The sequence below is a fragment of the Homo sapiens genome, chromosome 4, assembly GCF_000001405.40.
Source record: "Homo sapiens chromosome 4, GRCh38.p14 Primary Assembly".
Taxonomy (NCBI): domain Eukaryota; kingdom Metazoa; phylum Chordata; class Mammalia; order Primates; family Hominidae; genus Homo; species Homo sapiens.
In genome coordinates, this window is record NC_000004.12 from 119132760 (window position 1) to 119158662 (window position 25903).

At 35.5% G+C, this 25903-nt stretch overlaps 1 protein-coding gene and 2 long non-coding RNA genes across 5 annotated transcripts in view; 2 read left to right on the top strand and 1 right to left on the bottom strand.

The window, feature by feature from the left end:
* Positions 1-795, top strand: part of LOC102723967 (uncharacterized) — a 33423-nt gene extending 32628 nt beyond the window's left edge. Inside the window, exon 3 of the long non-coding RNA XR_001741422.1 lies at positions 53-795. This is a non-coding gene — a long non-coding RNA (uncharacterized LOC102723967). The remainder of the gene's footprint in view (positions 1-52) is intronic.
* Positions 3073-25903, top strand: part of MYOZ2 (myozenin 2) — a 51958-nt gene continuing 29127 nt past the window's right edge. For all 3 annotated transcript variants that reach the window (NM_001440645.1, NM_016599.5, NM_001440646.1), the window contains exons 1-4: positions 3073-3223; positions 3753-3842; positions 18113-18282; positions 25263-25392. In NM_001440645.1, coding sequence (NP_001427574.1) covers positions 3767-3842; positions 18113-18282; positions 25263-25392 — 376 coding nt within the window. In that variant the 5' untranslated portion in view covers positions 3073-3223; positions 3753-3766. The remainder of the gene's footprint in view (positions 3224-3752; positions 3843-18112; positions 18283-25262; positions 25393-25903) is intronic.
* LOC105379404 (uncharacterized) lies at positions 13492-18200 on the bottom strand. Its single transcript, XR_001741421.2, has 2 exons — positions 18077-18200; positions 13492-17059 (listed from the first exon to the last, which is right to left on the bottom strand). It is a non-coding gene; the product is annotated as an uncharacterized LOC105379404 (long non-coding RNA).

The following is a 25903-nucleotide window of genomic DNA, read 5'->3' on the forward strand; positions in this document are numbered from 1 at the left end:
TATCCCATCTTAAGACTGCAACATCAGTGACTTGTTCTTTCTTCTTTTTCAGAACAGATAATAACTCAGAGACCAGAATGAACTTATAAAATAAGGCAAGAGAATTTTAAGTACAATCTATTTGAAAAATAGACAAAAAGGTGTAAGACCTTATATTCACTAAAACTTTTACAATCTTTTAAAATACAGTATCTATTTTCATTTTGGAAACCAAAATTAATATAACAATGATTATCTGTTGAGGACACCATTTCAACCTTTAGAACTGTATGTAACATAAAGTTGGAAACATATGAAGATGATCAAATAGGAAAACCAGAACTCTCTTAATCTTTGGTTTTTTTAACTGAATAATGCAGTTGATTACTCTAAAATTCTAAATCCTACCATATTGCAGAAATAATAATAGCAAAAGGAAAAAAATCATTTATTAAATTTTTACTAAGTATAAGGAATTTCTAAATTGTCCCATGTAAAATGTCCATGACTTTATGTGATAGATACTGTAATCACCATTTTACAGATGAGAAAACAGAGTTTAAAAGACTTGTCTAATAGCATACTATGGTAAAGGCTACAGCCAGGAACATACGGGCACTCAAGGGATTTTGAGAGGGAATTTAAATTTATTTGCTTTGGCAAAATTGTTTCTCATTTGATACCTAATTATACTTTCAATGCAAATGGTTTGTTTAGAAACAATTGCAATAGGTTAGCTAGATTAGCTTAAACCTGCTATCTACAACCTTTAGCTTTCTCTTTTTTTTTTTTTTTAAACAAGGTCTGGTCTTGCCCGGGCTGGAGTGCGGTGGCTTGATCATGGATTACTGCAAACTCTACCTCCTGGACTCAAGCAATCTTCCCACCCCAGCCTTTGGAGTAGCTGAGATTATAGGTGCATGCCACTCACCTGGCTAATTTTTGGGTTTTTTGTTTTTGTTTTTGCTTTTTTGGTAGAGGCAGAGTTTTGCTAGCTGGCCTAGGCTGGTCTCAAACTCCTGGGCTCAAGCGATCCACCCACCTTGGCCTCCCAAAGTGCTGTGATTTACAACCTTAAACTTTCAATCCTATGATCAGGCACCAAAATGTATAACCGATTTCAATCTTATAAAATACAATTCCTCCCACAAATAGCCACCACCTTTGTACATTCAAGCGACTGTTCATTTGAATTCCAAACTCATGCCAAACCTTTAATGCATTCTGCAGTTAATCTCCAACCTACTCATTTATTCATTCATTCAATGAATATTGAGTGCTTACCATATGCCAGATACAATTCCAACTGCTGAAGATACAAAGCCCAAGCCATTATAGGATTCATAGTTTAGTAGAAAAAAGAGATATCACATAAATAGATGCAACCTCTACCTCCTGGACTCAAGCAATCTTCCCACCCCAGCCTTCAGAGTAGCTGGGATTACAGGTGCTAGTAAAACTGTTGAGGACGCCATTTCAACCTTTAGAATTGTACATAACATAAACTTTTGCTAGATAGATAGATAGATAGATAGATAGATAGATAGATAGATAGATAGATAGATAGAATAATGTTGGCATGTTCTTAGTGAAAAAACTGAGTTGTCACTCAGCAACAATTATTTCTTTGTTAGTAAGTTATGTATGAATTTTAATTGGGCTCATGACCACCTAGAATAGAAGCTACACTTCCCAACCTTTCTTGAGTTATGTACGGCTATATGGCTAAGTTCTGCCCAATGGGATGTAAACAGAAGTATGAACAAAATATCAGACATGTTCTGAAAAGAAGACAGTGTTCCCTTCTCATTTTTTTTTCTTTTTCCTGCTGGTTGAAATATATGCATGCTGACTGGAGCTGGGGCAGCCAATTAGGCCCAAGGGGTCTGCATTTTAGGGATAGTGGAGCAAAAAGTTAGAGGGTAACTGAGCCCTTGATAATTATGTCAGTCATGCAAACCCTCAATTACTTACTTCTAGACTAAGCTTACCTGTGAGAGAAACATCTTCCATCTTTTTACAGTTCTGTTTTGGGGGGGTTTCTGTCACTCCCATTTGACTTTTATCTTAACTAATAGAAAAATATAAAGAAAATGAAGCAGAGTAAGGGACTAGAGAGTGGCACAGTGTGATATTTTAGACAAGGTGATAAGGGAAGGATTTTATGAGGGATTGTTATCTGAGCAGAGTCCTGAATGCATGACTGTGCCATGTGAGTAGAGGGAAAGTATGGAAGGGGGAAATAGTAAAAGGAATACAGTATCTATTTTCATTTTGGAAACCAAAATTAACATAATGATTATCTGTTGAGGACACCATTTCAACCAGGGAAAGGGGGAAATAGTAAAAGGAAAGGGGGAAACAGTAAAAGGAAAAGCCCAGAGATGAGAGCACGTTTTTGTGTCCAGGGACCATCAAGGAGGCCAAACCTTTTGACAGGCAAACCTTTCAAATCTTGTCAGGCCTGCAAATGAAAATCCTTGACCCTAGACATTGTAAAGACTGGTCAACTTTGCAGGGACTGGTCTCTGTAGGCCCTTCAAAAAGCATGACCCAGTTATGAGTCTCAGCTTTTACCCAGCTTCATGGCTTATCCTCTAATGGTTCATTTCAAAATGCTTCCTGAGTTCACTATTCAAATACTACATACTTTTCTCAACCTAGCATGAGTTCTCACTACAGCTTAAGAACTGGCTCTATTGATCCACCCCACATTACTTCCTTTCTTCTTGAGTCTACATAGATATTACTGCCTATATTGTTCATTTTAATTATGAAAAATCTATCATTCTGTTCTGATTCATGCATGTGTCTCTTGCCACCTCAATTAACATGTAACATAAGAGCTAGATGTTTAAAAGTGTTTAAAATCCCTTTTGGCTACTATCTGTTCAACAGAAAGTGCTCACTAAAAACTTTCTGCATGTCCAATGAACGTTTCATTTAACCATCTCACAAACTAGAAACACAATGGAGAGAGCCTAATCTTTCCCTGTTCCTCCCTTTCGCCAGGAAGATATGAGTAGCTAAAGTATTTGGTGCTATATATAGCCAGTTGATGTCAGCTGAATGCCAGTCTCTTCAGAAAAGCTCAGTCCCCAGTTTGAGTCAGAGTAGGGACCATGCTGTCCCAGGTTCAAGGATAAAAACCATCAGGCCCAAGTGCCATCCATAGTCCATCTCCAGAGTCTTCCTCCACAAACTGGGATTCATCCCCGCTGAAAAAGCACAATCTAACAGCAAGGTGAGTATGTTGTTTCCTAAAATGTTTCATTAGTCAGTTGTCCAAGGATATTCAGAGTTGTGACTCATAAATGGGCATTCTCTGCTTTAAAGGGCAGCTGTTGCCAATATTAAAATGCTACCACCAAAGAATTCTGGTTTAGTCTAGTGTCTTCTTCATTCTTACAGTTTGCTGGAATTGATGGAGTGTGATGCTGGTACAAATGAAGGCCAGTGAGGAGACAATGACAGACTAAAATACTGTGGAGAAAAGAGAGGGAGGGGAAAGGAGACCAGCAATTTCATTGTTTCTCACTGCCTGATGATCATTGTATTAATGTCCAGACTGGGTCTCTGTTCACTGTGACATTGCCTGTCAATGAATAACATACTCTGTCACCAGATAAGGAATGCGTATTGAAGTCTTTCAGTAGCAAGCGATAATAACTTTTTAATAAAGAACAAAGATGTTGTCTTTCAAAACAGTGATTATAAGACACTCCAAATGAGTTCTTCACATTGCCTCAATAATGTCCCTTTGTTTTTAACAGGGAACAAAAAAACCATGCTATCACATAATACTATGATGAAGCAGAGAAAACAGCAAGCAACAGCCATCATGAAGGAAGTCCATGGAAATGGTATCAATAAAAATCCTTCGTAGCATTAATATAGCACAGCATGAATGTGGCTCCATCCTGACGTTGTTTAATATTCCATAGTTTACTTCCTTTAGATTCTTGCTGTTCTGTCATAACAAACCTGGAGCTCTAGGGGGTGTAGAAAAGCCTATGGTAACTAATCCTTTTGTAGTCATCCTTTCTCATTTGGAAGCTATTTTCAGAGGAACAACTGCTGTAAAAGGCATGAAGCAATCTGACAGCTGATGTACATTCTGCTTGGCTTGCCTTCCACATTATAAGTTAAGATCACTCTCGATTCTTTTTTTTTTCTGGACAAGTCTCATACAATCTTGTCTTTATTGTCCATCCCACATGGTTTAGCTTGATTTCTTTTACCTTACATTATATAAATCACTCAAAATAAGTTCTATCATCTTTTTTATCAAGCTATTAAGTTGGAATTCATATTTATTGCTTATTATTTAACTCCATTTCTATTGCTTATTTATTTAACCCTTCATATTTGTTAATTGATTTACTAACATATTTTGTGTGCAAAGTCTACTTTTATTTGTAACTTCTGAGAAAATATAAAGTTATTGTAGTCTCAAAGCATATGACTCAAAAAAATTTTAATATATATTACGTGCAAGGTAATATTTCACTCTCTCCTTTTCTTTAAATTCTAGCAACTAACTTGAGAAAGCAATGCTTTATAACTTGCATTTTGATTCTTATAAAGGAAATTCAACTTTGTTTATAAGCAACGTATAGCATCAGTTTTAAATGTTAAGAAAAATATTCAGGTCCTCTTAGGAGCTGATTTGAGCCATTCCAGATATATTAGTGGCATTTTCAGAATGCCTCCTTATTTCCCCTGTATTGACAAGGAATGCAGCCTTTCACCACTACAATATTGAGACCTAGAAGCTTGAGACCCGGGAAGAGTATTGAGCATAATGTTTTCATATTACACCTTCCATAAAGCAAGAGGAACAGAATCAAAGACTTTTAGATGCTCCCCACGCAATGTAATCATAACTAAGAGGTCCGTTGTTGTTTTCTATTTTCTGCAATACAGAACCACTGTACTGGATTCAACTTGGTTCTCATGTTTTACTGTAATGTCAAATTAGCTTGGAATAAAATGAGAATAATTCTGAGTCAGATACCAGAACTGAATTCATACCAATCCAAAGTTCCAAAATTCATGCCTTATTTAAAATTTCATGCATCTTTGTGTTTCCAGATTCAAGTAGTTTACTTGAAATTATTTTTTAGCTTTTCTGATCAATGTGGCAAAAATCAGATGATCACTGGAGTTTGTGACAAAATTGTTTACCTTAAAATAGACCTTTCATGTTATTATTTTCTAATGACATCCTAATCATAAAACAGTCAGTCCATTTAATGTATTCTAGCCTAAATCATGTGTTGGAATCTACTGTTAGCTCTGACATAGATCTATAAGGGTAAGAAGTTTTTTTTCCTTTTTTTTATAAACATAACTATTGTTTTTATAAAAAATATGTGGGAGAAAACACACAATTATATATCAAAGTGGGGGAAACCCTCAAAACCACTATCTCACCACCAGTAAATCCTAGCCACGTAAAGTCAGCTGAAGCCCTCCCTCCCATGTCACTGGATGAGTACCAGCTCCCTTAAGAGGAGTCACATGCTCTGTCTTTGTTGGAATGTCAAGTATTTCAGATAACATGGGGATAATCAGACTCTTTCCAAGCTCATCCCAGATGAAATAACTTCAGTACTTTATGAAACCGCTCAAATATTTTTCTTCTCTTATTTCCTCTGACATTTTATATGGAACTTTACTATTTGTGTATAGCATGATGTTTAGAGATCTGGAGCTAGGGGAGTATAATTTTTTCTCAGGATGCATAATAAAATGGACTTCAGAGAAACTTTTTTGGGAATGATCCTCCAAACTTTCAAACATTTTACAGGAGTAAAAATCTGGATAATTTAAGATAAAACATGCAACTGCTTTGATCTTAATTGTAAGACTAAATAAATCAAATTTTGCCTGGATTGTCCTTTATAAAGATAAATTGAAAAGGATGTTCCAGTCGAAATCCCCTTCTCCTGCCTTCTCTCCTTTCCCCTTGTGCATCAGAATTTTTTTTCAGCCTCATAACTCATTTAATTTTTATTACTACTTACCAAAACATTTAGCTTGGAGGAGTATAAAATGTGACAATGAGTTGGCTAAATCACTTGTTGTCCTCTTAACATGAGGTGGAAATTCAATCCCATTCTTGTAGGGGAAAGAGATTGCAGCCGGTGAGTCTTTGAGATAAATCACTAGAAAAATATAAGAACCAGAAATGGGGAGTTTTACATCAGAGCCCTCATTCCATCAGGAGTGATAACCTCAAAGAATTATTAAAAAATTCTCTTCATATAGATTATAATGCTAACTGCATAGAATGAGTGAGAGGTGGATAACTCCCAGCCTCCACTAATCACAACCCCAAATTGTTGCTCATTTTGAATCCATTGTGATTTGGTTTCAAATTATGTACTAGAAGCAAATATACTACACTCCCAACAATTGACTAATAAAAAGCATCCCAAACATGCAGGCTGCCTGCTTTTAGATTTACCTTCCTCATTATATCATAGTTATGATTACCATCATCATCACCTTGGCCGGAAGCAGAGCTAATGGTAAAGCTGTCCTGGTTACTCTTGTGAGACAAACCTCTGTGCTTTATATAAAAGTATCTCAGCCACAGTTGTTACCATCTAACAAGTGCTATTGTAAAAGACAAAAGATAATTTGCCATTATCTATGCATGAATTAGTTGTGGAGACAAGAAAAGATGGCCTCTGATAGTCCCCACCCATGAGCCTTGTGCAATTTACCCCTAAATCTGTACATATTTTCCAGTATTAATCATATTTTTCTCTTGTTCAGTATCTCATGTGAAACTTGAAGACTGAATGAAGAGAGAGAGGTAGGAAAGGATAAAAGGATAGGAAGTATTAAACTGATAAAGAGATGGGGCAATCAGAATGAAATAAGGAGAGGCACTCTAGAGAAACTGGCATCTGTTTAGAAATGCTGGGGGAAAGGAATTGGAATTTTAAAAACCATAAGAAGAACTGGGAGTATGATGTTCCCTGACTTTAAGCATGGATATTGCTGACAGTTTAGAATAAGAGCTTCATAAATAGAGAAGACCACAGTGCCTCCTAAGTAAGCTTCAGTCACCCTACAGTCCTCTCACCTGGGTTCCAGGAGGGCTTTTTTTGGTACGTTTTTTGTTTGTTTGTTTTTTTCTCCTCATGACTGGGCAACAGCTTTCCCCAGCACACTGAAGAGAACTGGGCAGGTTGTTTTTTTAACTTCAGGAAGAGAGCTTAGCTTTGTGGTCTAAAAACAGGAAGCCCAGGTTCTAAATGGAGTGCTGTTGTTAATGTGGTACCAGGGGTCCTGGGTTCCAGACGAGACATCAGATTTCACACAGAAAATGAGGAAGGCTGGATTTGCTGATACATCTAATTATAAAATTCCATGATTCTAATTTACTGAGCTATGTGCAGAAACCAAACATCAGTGTGTTTGAGTTTCTCTATCAGTAACAAAGGAAATGATAATATTGACATAAATTGCAAGGACTCCTTGAAAAAGTACAAAGTCTAGAATTTCAGATGAAAGATTACATGAAGACCGCTTTTACTTCTCTTGTAGGAGTGTATCTTAAACTGTAACTAATCAAATCTTCAAAATCAAAATGAAGATGCCAAAAAGGCCTTTCATACCTCCTATCAAATATATAAAGTTTATAGAAGAAGAACTTAATGATTCAGTGTACAAGTTTGGTAATTTTCTGTGGTTTGTTTTAATTTTCACATTAGCATTCTCATAGCCCCAAGAAAAATAAGAGCTAGAAAGGTTTGCATGTTTTATTTTGAAAACTGGTGTGCAGTCATATCTTGTGAATTCATAAGTTTTCTGAGCATCTAACCCCTAATAAGGCACTCCAGAAAATGAGTACAAGAGAACTAGGCTAAATTGTATTTTACACTGAAGTTGAAATTGCAGAGTTCAATTCTAGCTATGTTATTCCATCATCCTAACTTTCTTTGAAGGCTTTTTCACTCAAATATGTTTTAGACATACATCCTATAAACAGAACTAGATTATTCTGTTTGTATAATTCAATACATTGGTAATGTCATTTTTTGAATGTTTATAGATTTATACAGTTTTTAAATAATATTTTTATTAATGACAAATTTTTGAAAACTTTATAAAATAGCCTTAGAACTCAAATCAAGACAGAGACATATGAAATAAGAAAATAAAGAATCACAGATGGTATTCAAAATCAACTTTTTTATGTAGAGATAATTATCACAGAACTTTTTATCAATTGGAGTTTTAAGGCATTATCCAAAATCACAGTCTGGACTATGATCTTACATGTTATATGTAATATGTACATACATGTTACTTTATAGAAGAACATATTTTATGGACTATTATTCAATTACATAGGCCAACTGTCCAGGGACAGGAGGAAGAGTTCTGTGCAAATGCAGATAATCAATAAGCCCACCCTAAAGCAAATAAGCTTCAGCTAGCTACCCTCTAGTAATTGCAGTTGCCAATCATGGTAGAACAGTTTCAAAAGGTCTTTTGTCGTACTACAATTATTTGTAAGTGAGTGTCTTTGCAAACTATGGATTAGATTAACTCATCTAACTGAAGTTCTCAGTATAAATGACACCAATAAGAAAGTACACCTAACCATATTATTTTCTTTCTTTCTTTCTTTCTTTTTTTTGAGATGGAGTCTTGCTCTGTTGCCCAGGCTGGAGTGCAGTGGTGCAATCTCCGCTCACTGCAACCTCCACTTCCTGAGTTCAAGTGATTCTCCTGCCTCAGCCTCCCGAGTAGCTGGAATTACAGGTGCCTGCCACTACGCTTGGCTAATTTTTGTATTTTTTTAGTAGAGACATTTTGCCATGTTGGCAGGGCTGATCTCAAACTCCTGACCTCAGGTGATCCACCTGCCTCAGCCTCCCAAAGTGCTGGGATTACAGGCATGAACCACCATGCCCGGCCTTATTTTTAATAGATGATCTAATGCCACAAAGACAACCTTCTAAGCCATGAAGGCAAGGATATGTATTCTAAATAAAACATATCATTTATCAAGCATCAAGATTAAACACACCGTTAAGAACCTGTGCAAGGGTTTGCAGCGAAGGGCAGGCAACAGCTGAACTTAGAATCTGTGTGCTCAGCTGACAGCGTTCTTGACTCTGAAAGTTTAAGTAATGAGAGTGATCATGCATTAGATTCCTTAACTCACAAATGGTTCTGAAACCCTTGCTCCAGTGACATCATAAATTTAACTATTAGAAGGGAAGGGAAGGGAAGAAAACCTTGGAAAATTTTGTTTGTGTGTTTTATTTGTTTATGCAATACATCCCTGACACTGATGGATGTGCCCATTAGTATGCTATTATATATTTAACAATTGCTTCTTGAATGGGGCAGCAGTAGGGATGTTTTGATTTGTAGAATTTGCAAATTTCTGTGGTATAAATGCTTCCACCATGGCCAAATTCAAGCTACCACCATGGAAGCACTAAATGCAGAGCTGGAAACAGATATGCAGTAGTAGAACATTACATATTTTCCCTATACAGTTACAATGGATATAAATAACCTCAAGAGCGTAACGTCTCTTCTATCTTTTATAATCTAAATTGAACTTGCTATTTTGAATCCAGAATCAAAAAGTTGAAATATCGCATCCCCATCACATTGTCTAGTATGTTGAGGGATATTCATAGACACACTAAAAAATAAACTTGCTCATCCTTCCATGGTCCAAACACATAGTGACAGAGACTCCAAACACTTGCAAATAAGCAAGGGTGAATATTCCCTGTAGAACTCAGCAAAGCTGACGAGCAACTCCCGGGAAATTGTTGCAAAATACCCTCATGTACTCTGCTCTGTTTTTCTTATGCCTTTTCCATAGGCTATTTCTACCATTCCTGGGGACTGTGAAGTGCAGCATTTTGCTTTGTTTTGTTTGGGGATACTAGAGAGCCAGACAAAGCTGTTCTGCATTGCATTAGGAAGAAGTATAAAAATTTTTAAACATTTTAATAATAGACTTTATTTTTTAGAGTTTTAGACTTGCAGGAAAGTGAGGGAGAAAGTACGATGAGTTGCTGTATAAACTTCTTCCCCGCTGCTGTTTCCTCTATTATTAGCATCTTGCATCAGTGTGTATTTGTAACAACTGATGAACCAATATTGATAACTGTTGCACTCCATTTTGTGCTGCTATAACAGAATACCTGAGATTGGGTAGTTTATAATGAAAGACATTGTTCATGGTTCCAGAGGCCAGGGAGTCCAATATTAAGGTGCCAGCATCAAGGGAGGGTCTTTTTGCTGAGTCATCAAATGGCAGAGGACAAGAGAGAAAAGGGGGCTGAATTCATCTTTTTATAAGGTCACAAATCCCACCCATGAGGGTGGGGTACTCATGGCTTAATTACCTTTTAAAGGTCTGAGCTCTTAATACTGTTACAATGGCAATTAAATTTCTTTCTTTCTTTTTTCTTTTTTTTTTTGAGATGGAGTCTTGCTCTGTCACCTAGGCTGGAGTGCAGTGGCCTGATCTCAGCTCACTGCAACCTCTGCCTCCCAGGTTCAAGCGATTCTCCTGCTTCAGCCTCCCGAGTAGCTGGGATTACAGGTGCACACCACCACACATGGCTAATTTTTGTATTTTTAGTAGAGATGCGGTTTCACCACATTGGCCAGGCTGGTCTCGAACTCCTGACCTCATGATCTGCCCACCTGGGCCTCCCAAAGTGCTGGGATTATAGGCGTGAGCCACCGCGCCTGGCCTGGCAATTAAATTTCAACATGAGCTTTGGAAAGGACAGACATTCAAACCACAGCATTAACTAAAGTCCATAGTTTACATTAGGATTCACTCTTTGTGTTACGCAGTTCTACGGGCTTTCACAAATGCAGTGTCGTATATCTGCCATTACAGCATCACACAGGATAGTTTCTCGGCCCTAAAAATCCTCTATGCTCCACTTATTCATCCGTCTCTCTCTACCTCCTTCCAAGTCCCTGGCAACTACTGATCTTTATGCTACCTTCTAGTTTTGTCTTTTCCAGAATGTCAAATAGCTGGAATCATACAGTAAGTAGATTTTTCCGACTGGCTTCTTTTACTTAGAAATATACATTTAAGAATCCTTCATGTCTTTTCATGGCTTGATAGCTCTTAATTAAATTTTTTATTTTGAGTTTTTTTTAGATAATCATAGTTTCACCTGCAGTTGTTAAGATGTAATACAGGGCTATCCCATGTGCCCTTTCCCAGTGGTAACATCGAGCAAAACTATAGTACAATATCACAACCAGAATATTGACATTGATACAGTCAAGAGACATAATATTTCCATTCCCATAAGGGTCCCTCATGTTGCCCTTTCATAGCCATACCCACTTCTCTCTAGGCCCCATCTCTCCTTAAACCCTGACCAATCACTATTCTGCTCTCCATTTCTATAATTTTTCTGTAATTTCAAGAATGATATACAAATGGAATCATACAGCATATAACCTTTTGGGAATGGCTTTTTCATTCAGTGTAATTCTCTAGAGATTCACCCGGGTCTTGTTCTCAATGATTTGTTCCCTTTTGTTGCTGAATACCATGCTGTGGATGGACCACAGTGTTTTTAATAGTTTACCCATTGAAGTACATCTGGGTTGTTTTCAGTTTTTGATTATCAAGAAGGAAGATGCTATGAACATTTGGGTATATGATTTTTCAAGAACACAAGTTTTCATTTCACTGGGATAAATGTCCAGTATTGCAGGGTAGTTCTGCATTCAGTTTATAACAGAATTTATTAAATTGTTTTCTAGAGTGTCTGTACCATTTTATATCTTCAGCAGCTATGTATGAGTGACCCAGTTTCTCCACATCCTCACCAGCAAATGGTGCTGTCATCATTTTTCATTAAAGACATTCTGATAGGTGTATAGTGATATATCATTGTGATTTTAATTTGCATTTCCCTAGTGACTGATGATGTTTACCATCTTTTCAAATGCTTATTTGCCATCTGTATATCTTCTTCAGTTGAAATGCCTCTTCATGTTTTGGCCCACATTCTAATTGGATTGTTTGCTTTTTTAATAGTGAATTTTGATAGTTCTGTATTTATGCTAGACTGTTTTCAAGGTTACATGTTTTGAAAATATTGTTTCCCATTCTGTAGCTTGTCTTTTCATCCTCTTAGTAGGGTCTGTCTCAGAGCAAAAGTTTTTCATTTTGATGATGTCCAGTTTATCAATTATTCCTTTTATGGATCATGATTTTGGTGTTGTTTAGCAACTCTTTGCCTAGCCCTAGGTCCCAAAGATATACTAAAGTGATTTTTCTTCCTTAGCCCATTAACATGGTGAATCTTTGCCTAGCTCTAGATCTCAAAGATACAGTAATGTGATTTTTCTTCCTTAGCCTATTAACATAGTGAATTACATTGATTGATCTTTGAATAGTGAAACAGCCTTGCCTCCCTGGATTAAACCCCACTGGCTCATGATATAAAATTCTTTTCATATATTGCTTAATTATATTTGCTAATAATATGTTAAGGATTTTGCTTCTACGTGTATGTGGGATATGGGATATTGTTTTGTAATTTTTTCTGTGTGCGTGTGTGGTTTTTTTTTTTTTTTTTTTTTTTTGAGATAGGGTCTCACTCTGTCTCCCATGTTGGAGTGCAGTGGCCTGATCTCAGCTCACTGCAACCACCTCCCAGGCTCAACTGATCCTTCCACCTCAGCCTCCCAAGTAGCTGGGACCAACCCACCACCATGCCCAGCTAAAACTGTGTGTGTGTGTGTGTGTGTGTGTGTGTGTGTGTGTGTGTGTTTTTGGTAGAGACTTGGTTTCACCATGTTGCTCAGGCTGGTCTTGAACTCTTGAGCTCAAGCAATACACCTGCCTCAGGCCTCCCAAACTGCTAGGATTACAGGCGTGAGCCATCCCACCTGGCCTGTCTGTGTGTGTTGTCTTTCTCTGGCTTTGGTATCAGTGTATTATTACCTTAATGAAATGAACTAGGAAGAACTCTCTTCTATTTTGGGGCAGAGATTATGTGACATTGGTGATAATTGTTCTTTAAATATTTGGTAGAATTCTCCAGTGAAATGATTTAAGTCTGAAGCCTTTTGTGGGGTGAGGAGATTTTTAGACTATAAATTGAATTGCCTGAATAGTTATATAATTAATCAAGTACTCATTTCATGTTGGGTGAACTGAGGTAATTTGTGCTTTTTGAGGAACTGGTCAATTTTTTCTAAGTGCTCAAGTTTATGTGAATTTATATGTAGAATTGTTTGTAGTATTAATATTCTTATTATCTGTTTGCTATCTGCAGTGTCTGTAATGATATCTCTGATTTTGTTCCTAATATTGTTAATTTGTGTCTTCTCTATATTTTCCATGTTAATCTTACTAGAGATTTATCAATTTTACTGATCTTTTAAAAACCAGCTCCATACTTCATTGATTTTCTCTGTTGTTTTTCTGTTTTTTATTTCACTGGTTTCTGCTCTTATCTTTACTATTTCTTTCGTTCTGCTTGCTTTGAGTTTATTTTGTTCATCTTTTTTTTTTAGATTTTTTGGGGTAGACACTTATTTATTGATTTGATACTTTTTTCTTTTTTAACTGTGCATTTAGTGCTATAAATATTCCTCTCAGCACTGTGTTGACTGTTTCCCATAAATTTTGATATGCTGTATTTTCAAATTCGTTTAGTTCACTGAATTTTTAATTTCCTTTGAGACTTCCTTTTTGTCCCATGAACTATTTAGAAGTATGTTGATTAGTTTCCAAGTGTTTGGAGATTTTCCTGTTATCATTCTGTTACTAATTTCTAGTTCGGTTTTATTGTGATCAGCGCTAACAATCTGAATAATTTAACCATTTTAATTTGTTGAGGTTTATTTTATAGCCCAGGATATGGTCTATCTTGATATATATTCCACTGGCACTTGAAAGAAATGTGTGTTCTATTGTTGTTGAATAAAATATAAATGTCAATTAAGTCCTATTCGTTGCTAATATTGTAGAATTTTATATTCTTACTGCTCTTCTGCCTAGTTGTTCTATCATCTGCTGAGATGGGGGGATTGAAGTTTCCAACTATAATTGTAGATTTGTCTATTTCTCCTTTTAGTTCTACTTTTTTACTTTAAATATTTTATAGCTCTGTTTTTGGTGCATGTACATTTGGGATTTCTAGGCAATCTTTGTGGATTCGCACTTTAATCATTATATAATGCCCTCCTCTGTTTCTGGTAATCTTTGTTGCTGTGATTTTATCTGATATTAATATCAGGTAATATTTGGTTGATGTTGCTTGATATATATTTTTCCAATCTGTTACTTTCACTTGCTTATAATGTTATCATAGGCAGTGAGTTTCATGTAGGCAGCATCGTCCAACAAACCATAGTTGGTTCACCTTTAATCCAATCTGACATCAATTGATGTATTTAGATTATTTACATTTAATTTATTAATGTCTTAGAGCTTAAGTATGTAATTTTATTTTTAGTTTTCTATTTGTCATCTCTGTTTTACATTCCTGTTTTTTTTTTCTGCCTTCCTGGAGATTACTTCAGAGTTTCATTTTGGTATAGTGTTTTCAAATGTATCTGTTCATATAGCTTTCAGGAGTTGCTCTAAGTATTGCATTATATATGCATAACTTATCACAGTCTACTGATGTTGTCATTTTACCAGTGCAAGTATAGAAAATTTATCTACTTTTGGCCAGGCACGGTGGCTCATGCCTGTAATCCCAGCACTTTGGGAGACCGAGGTGGGCGGATCACTTGAGGTCAGGAGTTCGAGACCAGCCTGGCCAACGTGGAGAAACCCCGTCCCTACTAAAAAAACAAAAATTGGCTGGGTGTGGTGGTGGCAGGCACTTGTAATCCCAGCTACTCGGGAGGCTGAGGCAGGAGAATCACTTGAACCTGGGAGGCGAAGGTTGCAGTGAGCCAAGATCGGGTCACTGCACTCCAGCCTGGGTGACAGAGTAAGACTCTGTCTCAAAAAAAAAAAAAATCTACTTTGATGTCTTTTTATCCTCTCCTGTTTATAAAATAATTGTCTTAAGTATTTCTTCTACATACATTTACATCAGTCAGTATTATAATTTTGGCTTCTACAATAAAATATAATTTAGAAAGCCCAAGAGGAGAAGGGAAGCCTATTGTATATAGCTATATTTCTGCTTACTATATACCTTCTTTATCTCTGATGTTCCAGGCTTCCTTCTTTTATTGTTTCCTTTCTGTTTTAAGAAAACTTCATTTAGTCATTCTTTTAGGGTAGGCTTTCAGGCAACAAATTCTCTTAGTTTTCCTTCATCTGAGGATGTCTCAAGTTCCCCTTTATTTCTTGCAGGATATATTTCACTGGGTATGGGATTCTGGGTTGACAATTCTTTTCTTGCAGCACCTAGAAAAATATGGTACAACTTCCTTTTGGCCTCCATGGTTTCTGATGAGAAATCCACTATTATTCTAGTTATTTTCCCCTTATATAAGTAAGTTGTTTTCCTCTGGTGGCTTTCAATATTTTCTCTTTGTCTTTAGTTTTCAGAAGCTTAATTATAAGTCTTGTTGTGAGTTATTCAGGTTTATTATGTTTAGGGTTCTCTTAGCTTCTCGAATCTGTAAGTTTATATCTCTTGTCAACTTTAGGACATTTTTCAGCCGTGATTTCTTTAAGTACTTTTCCAGCCTCCCCTTATTTTTCCTCTCCTTCTGGAACTTCAATGACATGAATGCTATATCTTTTATTAGAGTCCCATGAATCCCTAAGAATACCTCGTTCATTTGTTTTCAAGTCTATTTTTCTCTGTGTTGGTCTTATTGGGGAAATTCTATTCTAACAGCTAAGTGATTTTTCTCATTTGCCCCCTCTATTTTACTATTGAGCCCATTCACTGAGCTTTTTACTCAGGTTATTATATTTTGAGTTCTAAAATTTTTGTTTTGTTCTTTATATCTTTTATTTCTCGACTGAGATTTTTTTTTTTTTTTTTTTTGCTGCTGCTGATGGAGTCATTGGCAAAAAAAAAAAAAACCTTTCCATTTAAAGAATTTGTTTCAAGTGGTTTCCTAACTGCTTTCTGAAGCATTGTTTTAAATTATGGGTACTTTAAAATATTTGTCAGATAGTTTTAATATCTCAGTCATCCCAGTGTTGGCATTTGATTTTTTTTTTAATTTTTCATTCAGTTTGAGATTTTTCTAGTTCTTTGTATAAGTGATTTTCATAATATATATAAGTGATTTTCAATTTAAGCCTGGACATTTTCACATTATGTTCTGAGATGCTTGCTCTTTAAATAAACCTTCTTTTTCATCTGTTCTTATCTGACACTGCTCCAGCAGGAGTGCCAACTCATTACTGCAGGTGAATGTAGAAGTCTGGGTTCCCTATTTGGCTCCACTGAAACTTGAGGGGAGCCTCTTTGTTATTGCTGGGAGAGGACAGGAGTTCAGACTCCCACGTAGTCTTCACTAAGACTGCGGAGACAAGGAGCTAGTTACTGGCCAAAAGGAATGAAAGTCCCAACTTCCCACTCGGTCTCTCTGACACCACCCTAGTGGGAGTATTGGAGAAACTTGTTACAGCCTCACAGGGTGAAATTCTGGGCTCCCCACAAGATCTTAACGTGGGTGAGAGCGAAGTCAAAGTGTTTTCTGTGGTGGTTGGCTAAAGTAGCGCAGCCATTGTCTAAACATTTTCTGTCTTGCAGAGGCAGCTCCTTTCCTGGTCCTTTAGCTGGAGAGAACAGCCTTTCGTTGGTGCTTTGTCTGTCTGGACCTCTTGGTGTTTCTGGGTTGCCATCATCTTCAGCTTCAAGTCTGAGATTTAGGGGCTAAAAGAACACCCAGAGTATTAATCACCATGTTGTTCCTTGGGTCCTGGGGTCCCTAGCTTGTCTGCCTATTTCTTTACACTTTCAGAGTCTTTTATTTATTTACTTATAATGTCCAACATGTGAGGTTGTATTTAATAGCTTTACAGGAAAAAACACATCTACTTCATCTTCCCAGAAGCAAAAATCTTGATATTGTGACTTTTATAATTAGTGGACTCCTCTAATTTTACCTGTAAAAACAAAACAGGTAAACTAATTTTTCTCTCAAAAGAAAAGTGGGGAGAAAATTTAACAAGTAATTCTGTTGTTTTATCCCAAAAGCTTAATTGTTATGGTTAATATATCATCAAAGAATGTTGCCCCAATCAAAATAATTATTTATTTTCCTAATGGCCCAATTTTTCTTCCTATGCATTTAACGGTAGTCAACTGTGGCAAAAAGACTCTGTGGGTATTACAGAAATATATTAGTGATTAAAGAAGCAAGTGGAAAGATTGTATCTCTTTTGGATTTTGGAAAAACTGTTTAGTAAAAGAAATAGGAAATAACACTCATTTACTGAATATCTGATATATTTAAGGTATGGGAGACACAGAAAGTAAAACCTAAAGAAAATGCAAACCATAAAACAAATAAAACAAAATCAAATATATGTGATTCAGTGTTATGGAAATATAGAGAATGAATGAGTAATTATGAATAAAAATTTTAGGTAAGAAATTAATATAAATGGCATTTGAGCTGGATTGGGGAAAAAGTTCACTCAATACTTATCATCTGCCTACTTTATGGAGGTTACTCAGTGCTAGATGCAGAATAAATAGTATTTTGACCGAGTCTGGGAAATGGGGTGGGGTGGAGTGGGAGGGTAGGCATTTCAGTAGGGGGATAGCTAAAGCTGACACATAAAAATGTGGGGAGCAAAACAGAGTTTATGAATGTAACTATGAAGCCATGCTATTTGCAAGCTCATTCTATATGGAAAGACTAAATTGTACTAGTAGTAATTACAGCTAACTTTTTAATTCACACTATGTGCCAGGTACCAGGCTACATGCTTTACATGAAGCATTTTTATTTCATTCTCATATTAATGCTTTGCAATAGGTATTAGTATTATTAGCTCCACTTTAGAGATGAAGGAACTGAGGTTTAGAGAAAATAAATGACATACTTATGATTATGCAATTAGAAAGTGGTGGAATTTTAGAATTAAGAAATTTATAAAAGCATTAAAAATGCTTACCTTGGGATTTTTACTCATATGAATATTGTTTTACAGATGTTGATGGCATGGACCTGGGCAAAAAGGTCAGCATCCCCAGAGACATCATGTTGGAAGAATTATCCCATCTCAGTAACCGTGGTGCCAGGCTATTTAAGATGCGTCAAAGAAGATCTGACAAATACACATTTGAAAATTTCCAGTATCAATCTAGAGCACAAATAAATGTAGGTATAACTTGAACAGGTAGTATCCAAATGAATGCGCAATATTTCTAAATTTGTATTTATGACTAGTTTCTGAAGGAAGTATTCTATATATTTTCTTTCAATTTATTCTGTTAGGCTATTTTTTTTTTATCATAATGAATAGTTTAGGTGGGTAAACAAAAGAAGCATTATGTATGATATGAGTATGCTTTTAGTTCAATAGGGACATTGTAAGCTTGTAGATTTGGCACTGAGGAACTTGTCTGTTCCACTAAGAGGAGGGAGAGGGAGTGGAGAGAAATGGTACTAAAAGTTTCCATGGTCTTATCACAACCAGTTACATGTTTGAGATGGAAACACTTCCAAAGCACATAGCGCTCCACAGGCGAGGATAAGCATTTTATTCACTGAGTAAACCTTGGAACTGAAACATGCCTGGGAACTACAGACACATTCAATGCCCTCTCAAAGCATTTATTCCACATTGTGTAGGGAAGTCTGGTACTCACTAATGACAAAAACTAGTTTGGATATAACTCTTTGGACAGAGATTTCCCCAACTCAAAGCTAATAAACAAACAAAAATTAAACTACATTTTACATATTGTATTAATATTACATTCACTTAAACTGTCATTTAAAGAGACTGTAGAGGAAAAAGTTGATAGTAGAAAGGCAACCAGCTTTGGGAAAATGGCTTTAAAATTCAAATGGCTGGCGTGAAGAATCAAAAAGGAATAGTGCATTCGTCCTAAATTTGAAAAGATCATGATGACTTCAACAAATATGTTTTATTTACTGAGAGTTTCTTCCTAGAGCTATGAAAGATTTACTTACAGATTTAAGCCTGAAAACTTACCAGCTCCCATCACTAATAAGTTGTTTTGAATGGACAGCTCCCTTCTTTACAGCAAACAGACTAATTTCCCTGATTTATTTTATCATAATTACTAAAACACACTATAGAAACTAATATCTACATCCACAAACACCAAAATTTTGTTCCCTATATTTCTATTTTCCTTGTTATGTTTTTTGTTAACAGAAAATGTTGAGAGGACACTTAACAAATTTATTTTCATATTTGTGAGCATTCTTCAGCCATCCATTGATTAAATCTAGTTTTAATTGTGAATTCAGTTAGCCATCAAATCTTACTCAACTATAGTATTTATACTTGTGAAGAATGATTTTTTAATTGAAGTCCATGTACCCTATAAGTATGCCCAGTAACCTCTTATCAAAAATATCTTGTAAGTATGAGTCAAAAATAATCCCTACCCCATCTGCTGGAGTCTATGTAATCATATTCTTTCAATAATGACAATAGAGAAGGCTCTCTATGGAGTAGTACAAAATAAGGTGGCTTACGGAAGTCTTTGAAAAGTCATCTACAAGTTTAGACATTTGAATAAATGAATAATGTCAGTTTTTATAACTTCCACTTACATCTCTAGGAATAATGCTTTAACTACAATTCTGAAGAAAGGTACAATAAGATTTAAAATGTCCCTATGAACACAACATATTCTCTTACCACCAGTATTTCAAATTATTGATTATAATTTTATACACCTGTGTTCGAATGTGTTCTGGTTACACATAATATATATAAGAACATGTCTTGACAATTTTTCACTATTCCCTGAAGACTGGGCGCTGAATAAATAAAATGACCCCAAACAGGTTTATTGAAATAAATAATTAAATATTGATAAATAACACAAAGCAATAAGCAATAATAATATATGCAATAAAGTCATATTTTATTGAGTTACATAACATACTCTAAAGTGTGATGAATTTTACTCTTCTTTCAAAATAAGGAAAGTAGTATTCAAGGAAGTATGTTCATTTGACTTAAGCAACACCATAATAAAGAAGATTGATACTCAGCTGTCAGAATCCTAGAGTTCTTGGCACCAATTTCTCTCATGGTGTAATTAAAGGAAAATCTTGCCTGGGAATCAGGAGACCAAGGTTTGGTCCTGGCTCTCCCACCAGCCATGTGATTTAGTGTTAACTCAAAAAGCGTTGCCTTTTTTTTTTTTTTGCCTTTCTGAATTTTCCCCCTCATTTTAAAAATAAAGATACGCACTCCAATGCTCTCAGGTGCCTTCTGTCTTTAATGATCTGTGTGTTGCCCGATCTTAATTCAAAAAATTACCTGCACAATAAGTCATTAAGGAAGATAGTGAGCCACGTTGTACAATGATACTTTTACTTTGTCAAGACTGTAGATTGCAACTTGAAAGGTTAATATGACAGGAATTCAAAAATATTATTAGACTCAGGTCTATTTCCATTCATATTCATTTATACTTTTGGCAAATATTTATTGGGTGCCTATTATGTTCTTGATACTATGCTGCAAGCTCAAAGATAAATAAATACAGGTTTCATCTAGTGATAGAGAGACCAAATGACATTGAAAGATAAGAGAGCTTTTATTTACTTATAATCTAGTTCTTGAATGATCCTTATATGATTTTTATACCACATTAATCTGATTTATTGACTACATTTTCTGGAACAAGCTTTTACTTTTACTGCTTCCCTTGAGCAATAGATGTTGTCAAAGTAATAATTTAACTCAGCTTTATATATTTCTTATTCTAGTATAATGTTGAAGACCTCATATAAATGAAAATATAAACCACCCCCCTGGTAATTAATGCCATTTGTTCAAATACTACCATTTTAAAAACAGAAAAAATAAGTGTAGCTTTGAATTCTACTGGTGAGGGACACTGGCAAATTCAAGCTACATATACTTTCTATGACACAAACAGTAATAACAGTAAATATGTGTTCCTAAAAAGAAATGAACATTGCTTGCTACATGAGCCAATTTTGAAGCCCTAGTTCATAAACTATTTTTTAACCAAAATGGCAAAATGGAGATGGGTGAAGAAAATAGGCCACCAAAAATAAAGTAAAATGGAAGAATGCCTCATGATAATTAAAATTCTCTTCTTATCAGTTACTGCAAAAGGATATTATATTTTTTGAATCACTAGAAATCTTAAATACTACTGGGAAAAGGGGAATTATACTATTAAAAGTAATTCTGAAATAAGACCACACTAAATAATTGGAACTCTAAATATATATTTGCTTTGTTCAAAAAATAACTTCTACCATGTATGTGGCACAAAGCATAGAGCAAAGAAGCCTTCTTTTTATATCTATTGATATTTTAACAGAAATCATGTAAAGCATCTTCTATGCATGTTTTTAATTTACATAATCTATAGGATATGGCTCTAGTTTTGTTTTCTTTAGGGTCAACTTAACTGAGGTAAGAAGAGACATATCTTCATTTGTCTTTCCAACTTTTCTGAAAGGAATTGCAGATGATGGAATGCTATGATGTAAAGCTTATAATTATATAGGTTACTATCTAACTATTATAAGGCTCTGCTTATTTTCTTAACGATGATGTAGAGGTACTGGGTGTCTCCTGATAATTAATGACTAATGAGAAAGAGTTGATTTTCCTGCTCATCATTAATCCCCAGGAAGAGGTTACAGAAGGTATTACAATTCCTGGAAATTAATGTAGGTAGAATTATTTGTAAGTTTAGGTGAAATTCATTTAATGAACACATTCTAGGAACTTAGAAAACATTACTCTTTGTGCATTATACATTTAAACTTCCTAAATTTATCTCAAATGCCTTTTTATTTATAATTAAAGTTATCAGGAACTTTATACTTTTTAAAGAATTAGTATAGGTTTAGAAGTAAAAACATAAAGATACTAACCTAGTCAATTATTAAGTCCAACACTCAAGATAGGAGCTGAGTTCAAAATGCAAAAATGTTATATTACACACACACACACGCACACACACACACACACACAATGCCTTTCTTAGTCCATCCATGTTGTTATAAAGTAATAGCTGAGACCAGGTACTTTATAAAGAAAAGAGGTTTATTTGACTCATGGTTCTGTGAGCTGTACAAGAAGCATGGCATCAGCACCTGCTTCTGGTAAGGGCCCCTGGAAACTTCCACTCATGGCAGAAGGGAAAGGGGAGTTGGCATCACATGGTGAGAGAGGAAGGAAGGAAGAGAGAGGAGGGAGGAGGTGCCAAGTTCCTTTTAACAATCAATTCTCATAGGAACTAATTACTGCGAGGATGGCACCAAGTCATTCATGAGGAATCCACCTCCATGACCAAACGCCTCCCATTAGGCCCCAACTCCAACACTGGAAATGAAATTTCAGCATGAGATTTAGAGGGGACAAATATCCAAATCACATCAGTGGCCAACTAGACTTCAGCCAGATTATAAATAGGATGGGGACTCCAAATGACATAAATGCAATACCAAAACCCAGGTAACAGGAACAAATAAAGAAAGAGCACGAGAAGGTGGCATAGGTTTTATTGAAGTATTGGGATAATACAGAATATGGAGACATTTCCGGTAGATTAAGTTAGTTAGAAAGAAGACGGAAATTCTAAGATGGGTCTTAGAGGAAACCTAGGATTTGGTTTAGTAAAGAACAGAAAAGAGGGCATTCAAAGCAGGTGAAACAGCTTGTGGGGCTGAGGAGGGCAGAGGGTAGTAGTGGGGAACTGGCTTGTGGAAGTTTGCAAGGAATGAGAGGTAATGTTTATGAGGTGAGTATGACATCTACATTACCAAGCAAAAGAGTTTGCATTTTATTCACTAGGCAATTAGGAACAATTTCTAAAGATTGGAGTAATGCCATACCAGCATTTGTATTCGGTCTGACTGGAAGGAAAATGCTTGGTGGAAAATGAACAGAAGATAGATGATGACATGATAAAGTATGAGCAATGAGGATAACAGGAGCATGAAGACTAAAGTGAAAAAGGAAGATGGCATTTTAAAAAATGTCATAGTGAAAAAGAATCAGCTGGGTTTGGCTATTTATTCACTAAAAATTCAGCTAATATTCGCTGACTGCTTGTGCTATATAAGACACCATCTTAGGCTTTGTAAAAGACATATGGGCAAAATGAAATTCCCTGTTCTCAAGTAGCTAACAAGCTAGTAAATGAAACAGGACACAAAATATTATTTTAAAGGCGAATTATAGTAAATGATACGGGAGCGGCGAGAAGAAAGACAAAAAACTTTTTATTGGAAGGGGAGGAAGAATAAGGGAAGGGGTGTTTTTTAAATCACGACAGAGCCGACCATGGTAATGACGGAGAGGGGTCCTCTTGCTAGGGGAACTCCTATGATCAAAGATCAAAGGTAGAAAGGTGGAGAAACATACAAGATAATGGGGGAATCTTGATCTATGATCAAAGGTAGAAAAGCATACAAGATAATCGGGGAATTATAAGTGGTTTGGTTTTAAGCTTAGGGTACATCTTTAAAAACTGATGAGACTAGGTAGGCAGGTCTCAGTGCAAGGCTAAAACATTTAGGCTTATTCAGTATGCAATAAAGTGTGAACATGATGATGAGTTTGCAATTAGGCATGCGATGTTTAAAGTTGTAAAAATGTTTAAAGTCATAATATTTTTGCTATAAGTTTTAACCTCAGGCAGAGACAGCTCTAAGAGAATTCCTTCCCAAAATAGATCTTTTAAAATTCTAATAGAGATTAAGTATTTTTGTTTAAAAAGCTATTCGTTGAAAATATATATATGTTCCTGGGAAGTTAGTATATCATCAGACTATCAATATTTTATAAGTATAATTTATTCATGAAGATTTTATTTTATCATTGTCATTTTCTGCCCTGTCCAAATGTGGGCTTTGATGAAGCAGACGAAAGAACAAAGGCTCAAATTTGGACTACTGCTTTGAAAGTAGGCTTTTTTGGAATGCTGCAGAGATTAACATGAATGCAAAAGCCCTTGGGGAGGGGCTGTGTGGGTGAAGCATAAAAATGGAGATAAACTTTATTTCCTTCATAATTTTATTAAGTGAGGATCTTAATTTATGGCCTTTAGTTATGGTAAGTATTTAAATTTTAAAACAAAATTGTATTCTATCCTGAAATTGCTATAAAGTTAAATAAGTGTTAAAATGTAAAGGTATATTTCATCACAGAATCTTACAAACAAATATAGAAATTAAAAAATGAAAGATTTTCTGTATGTCACACACAAAAGAGTCAAAATCAGTGTCTAATTGCTATGCTTTTTACTAAATTTTTATTTTTGAAGTTAAAAGATGATTTGACCTAATCGCTTCTTTTTAAAATACACATATTTCCTATATGCAATTAAAACAATGATTTATTATGAGAATAAAACTTGGCTATACTTTTGAGGACATAACCTACTACGATGTCTATTTTTTTCTTAAAATGCAAACTGAACATTTTTAAGGTGCTATATTATTGCCATAGAATAAATCCTGTAATAGGAAAACAAATTTATCAAAATTTAAAAGACAAATGTATTTTTTCAGCATTTTATTTTCTAAAAATCAAAAATTTTTCCTTTTGCAAGTCTATGCAACTTAAAATATAAATGATTTTTGTGTTTTTTTGGAGTACATATGATTGCCGTTGAAATTTCAGGTTAGATTTTTAAACTTTCTAGACGTTAAAAAATCTAATTAAAGCCCAAATATAAATACAATGGAAGATAAGATTTACTAGGCCAAATGCTTAGCCAGTATGCTCTACATTATTAGATTAGTAAGGATTCAAAAATTAAATACATTTATCTCATAGGGATGGTCTGAACAGAAAATGAAATGATTGGTATGAACCACTACACACAGTGCCTGGCACACAGTAAGTCTCAATTTCAGCTCTAATCATTATTAAGTGGACTGTCATCATAAAATAGATCTTAGACTGATATCAGTAAATCTTCTCATTCAAGTGCGCAACCATCTTACTATGAAAAAAATTATTGAGGTCCCAGGAAGTAATGAAGCGACATTGCATTTAAATTATAAATATACAATTGAAGTTTTGCATATATAGCTCCTATTATTGTGCTTACATTTTTGAGTTTTCAGCAGAGTTTACTTTTGATTAAATACAGCACAGTATTGCTATGCAGAATGGGAAAGTGGATGGAAGTAACTTGGAAGGTGGTTCGCAGCAAGCCCCCTTGACTCCTCCCAACACCCCAGATCCACGAAGCCCTCCAAATCCAGACAACATTGCTCCAGGTAACCAATCCCCTTACCAACAGAGCAATAAAATTTCTGTGTACCTAATGATATGACTCAAGGCATTTAAAGCCTTTATTGAATAGTATTTAAATAATATATCTTTTCTCATTAAGTATGTTTTTGGGCCCCAGGCACGGTGGCTCCCAATCCCAGCACTTTGGGAGACTGAGGTGGGTGGATCACCTGAGCCCACAAGTTTGAGACCAGCCTGGATCACATGGTGAAACCTAGTTTCTACAATAAATACAAAATTTAGCTGGGTATGGTGGTGCACACTTGTAGTCCCAGCTACTTGGGGGGCTGGGGTAGGAGGATCATTTGAGCCCAGGAGGGGCTGCAGTGAGCCATGATCACACCACTGCACTCCATCCAGCCTGGGTAACAGAGTAAGACCCTGACTCAAAAAAAAGTTTCTTTTTTGGATAAATAGAAGACAAATGCAAAAATTCAAACCTAAAGGAATCACATAAAACATTTATAGTAGCCATACGTTCTTTGTTTTAGATGG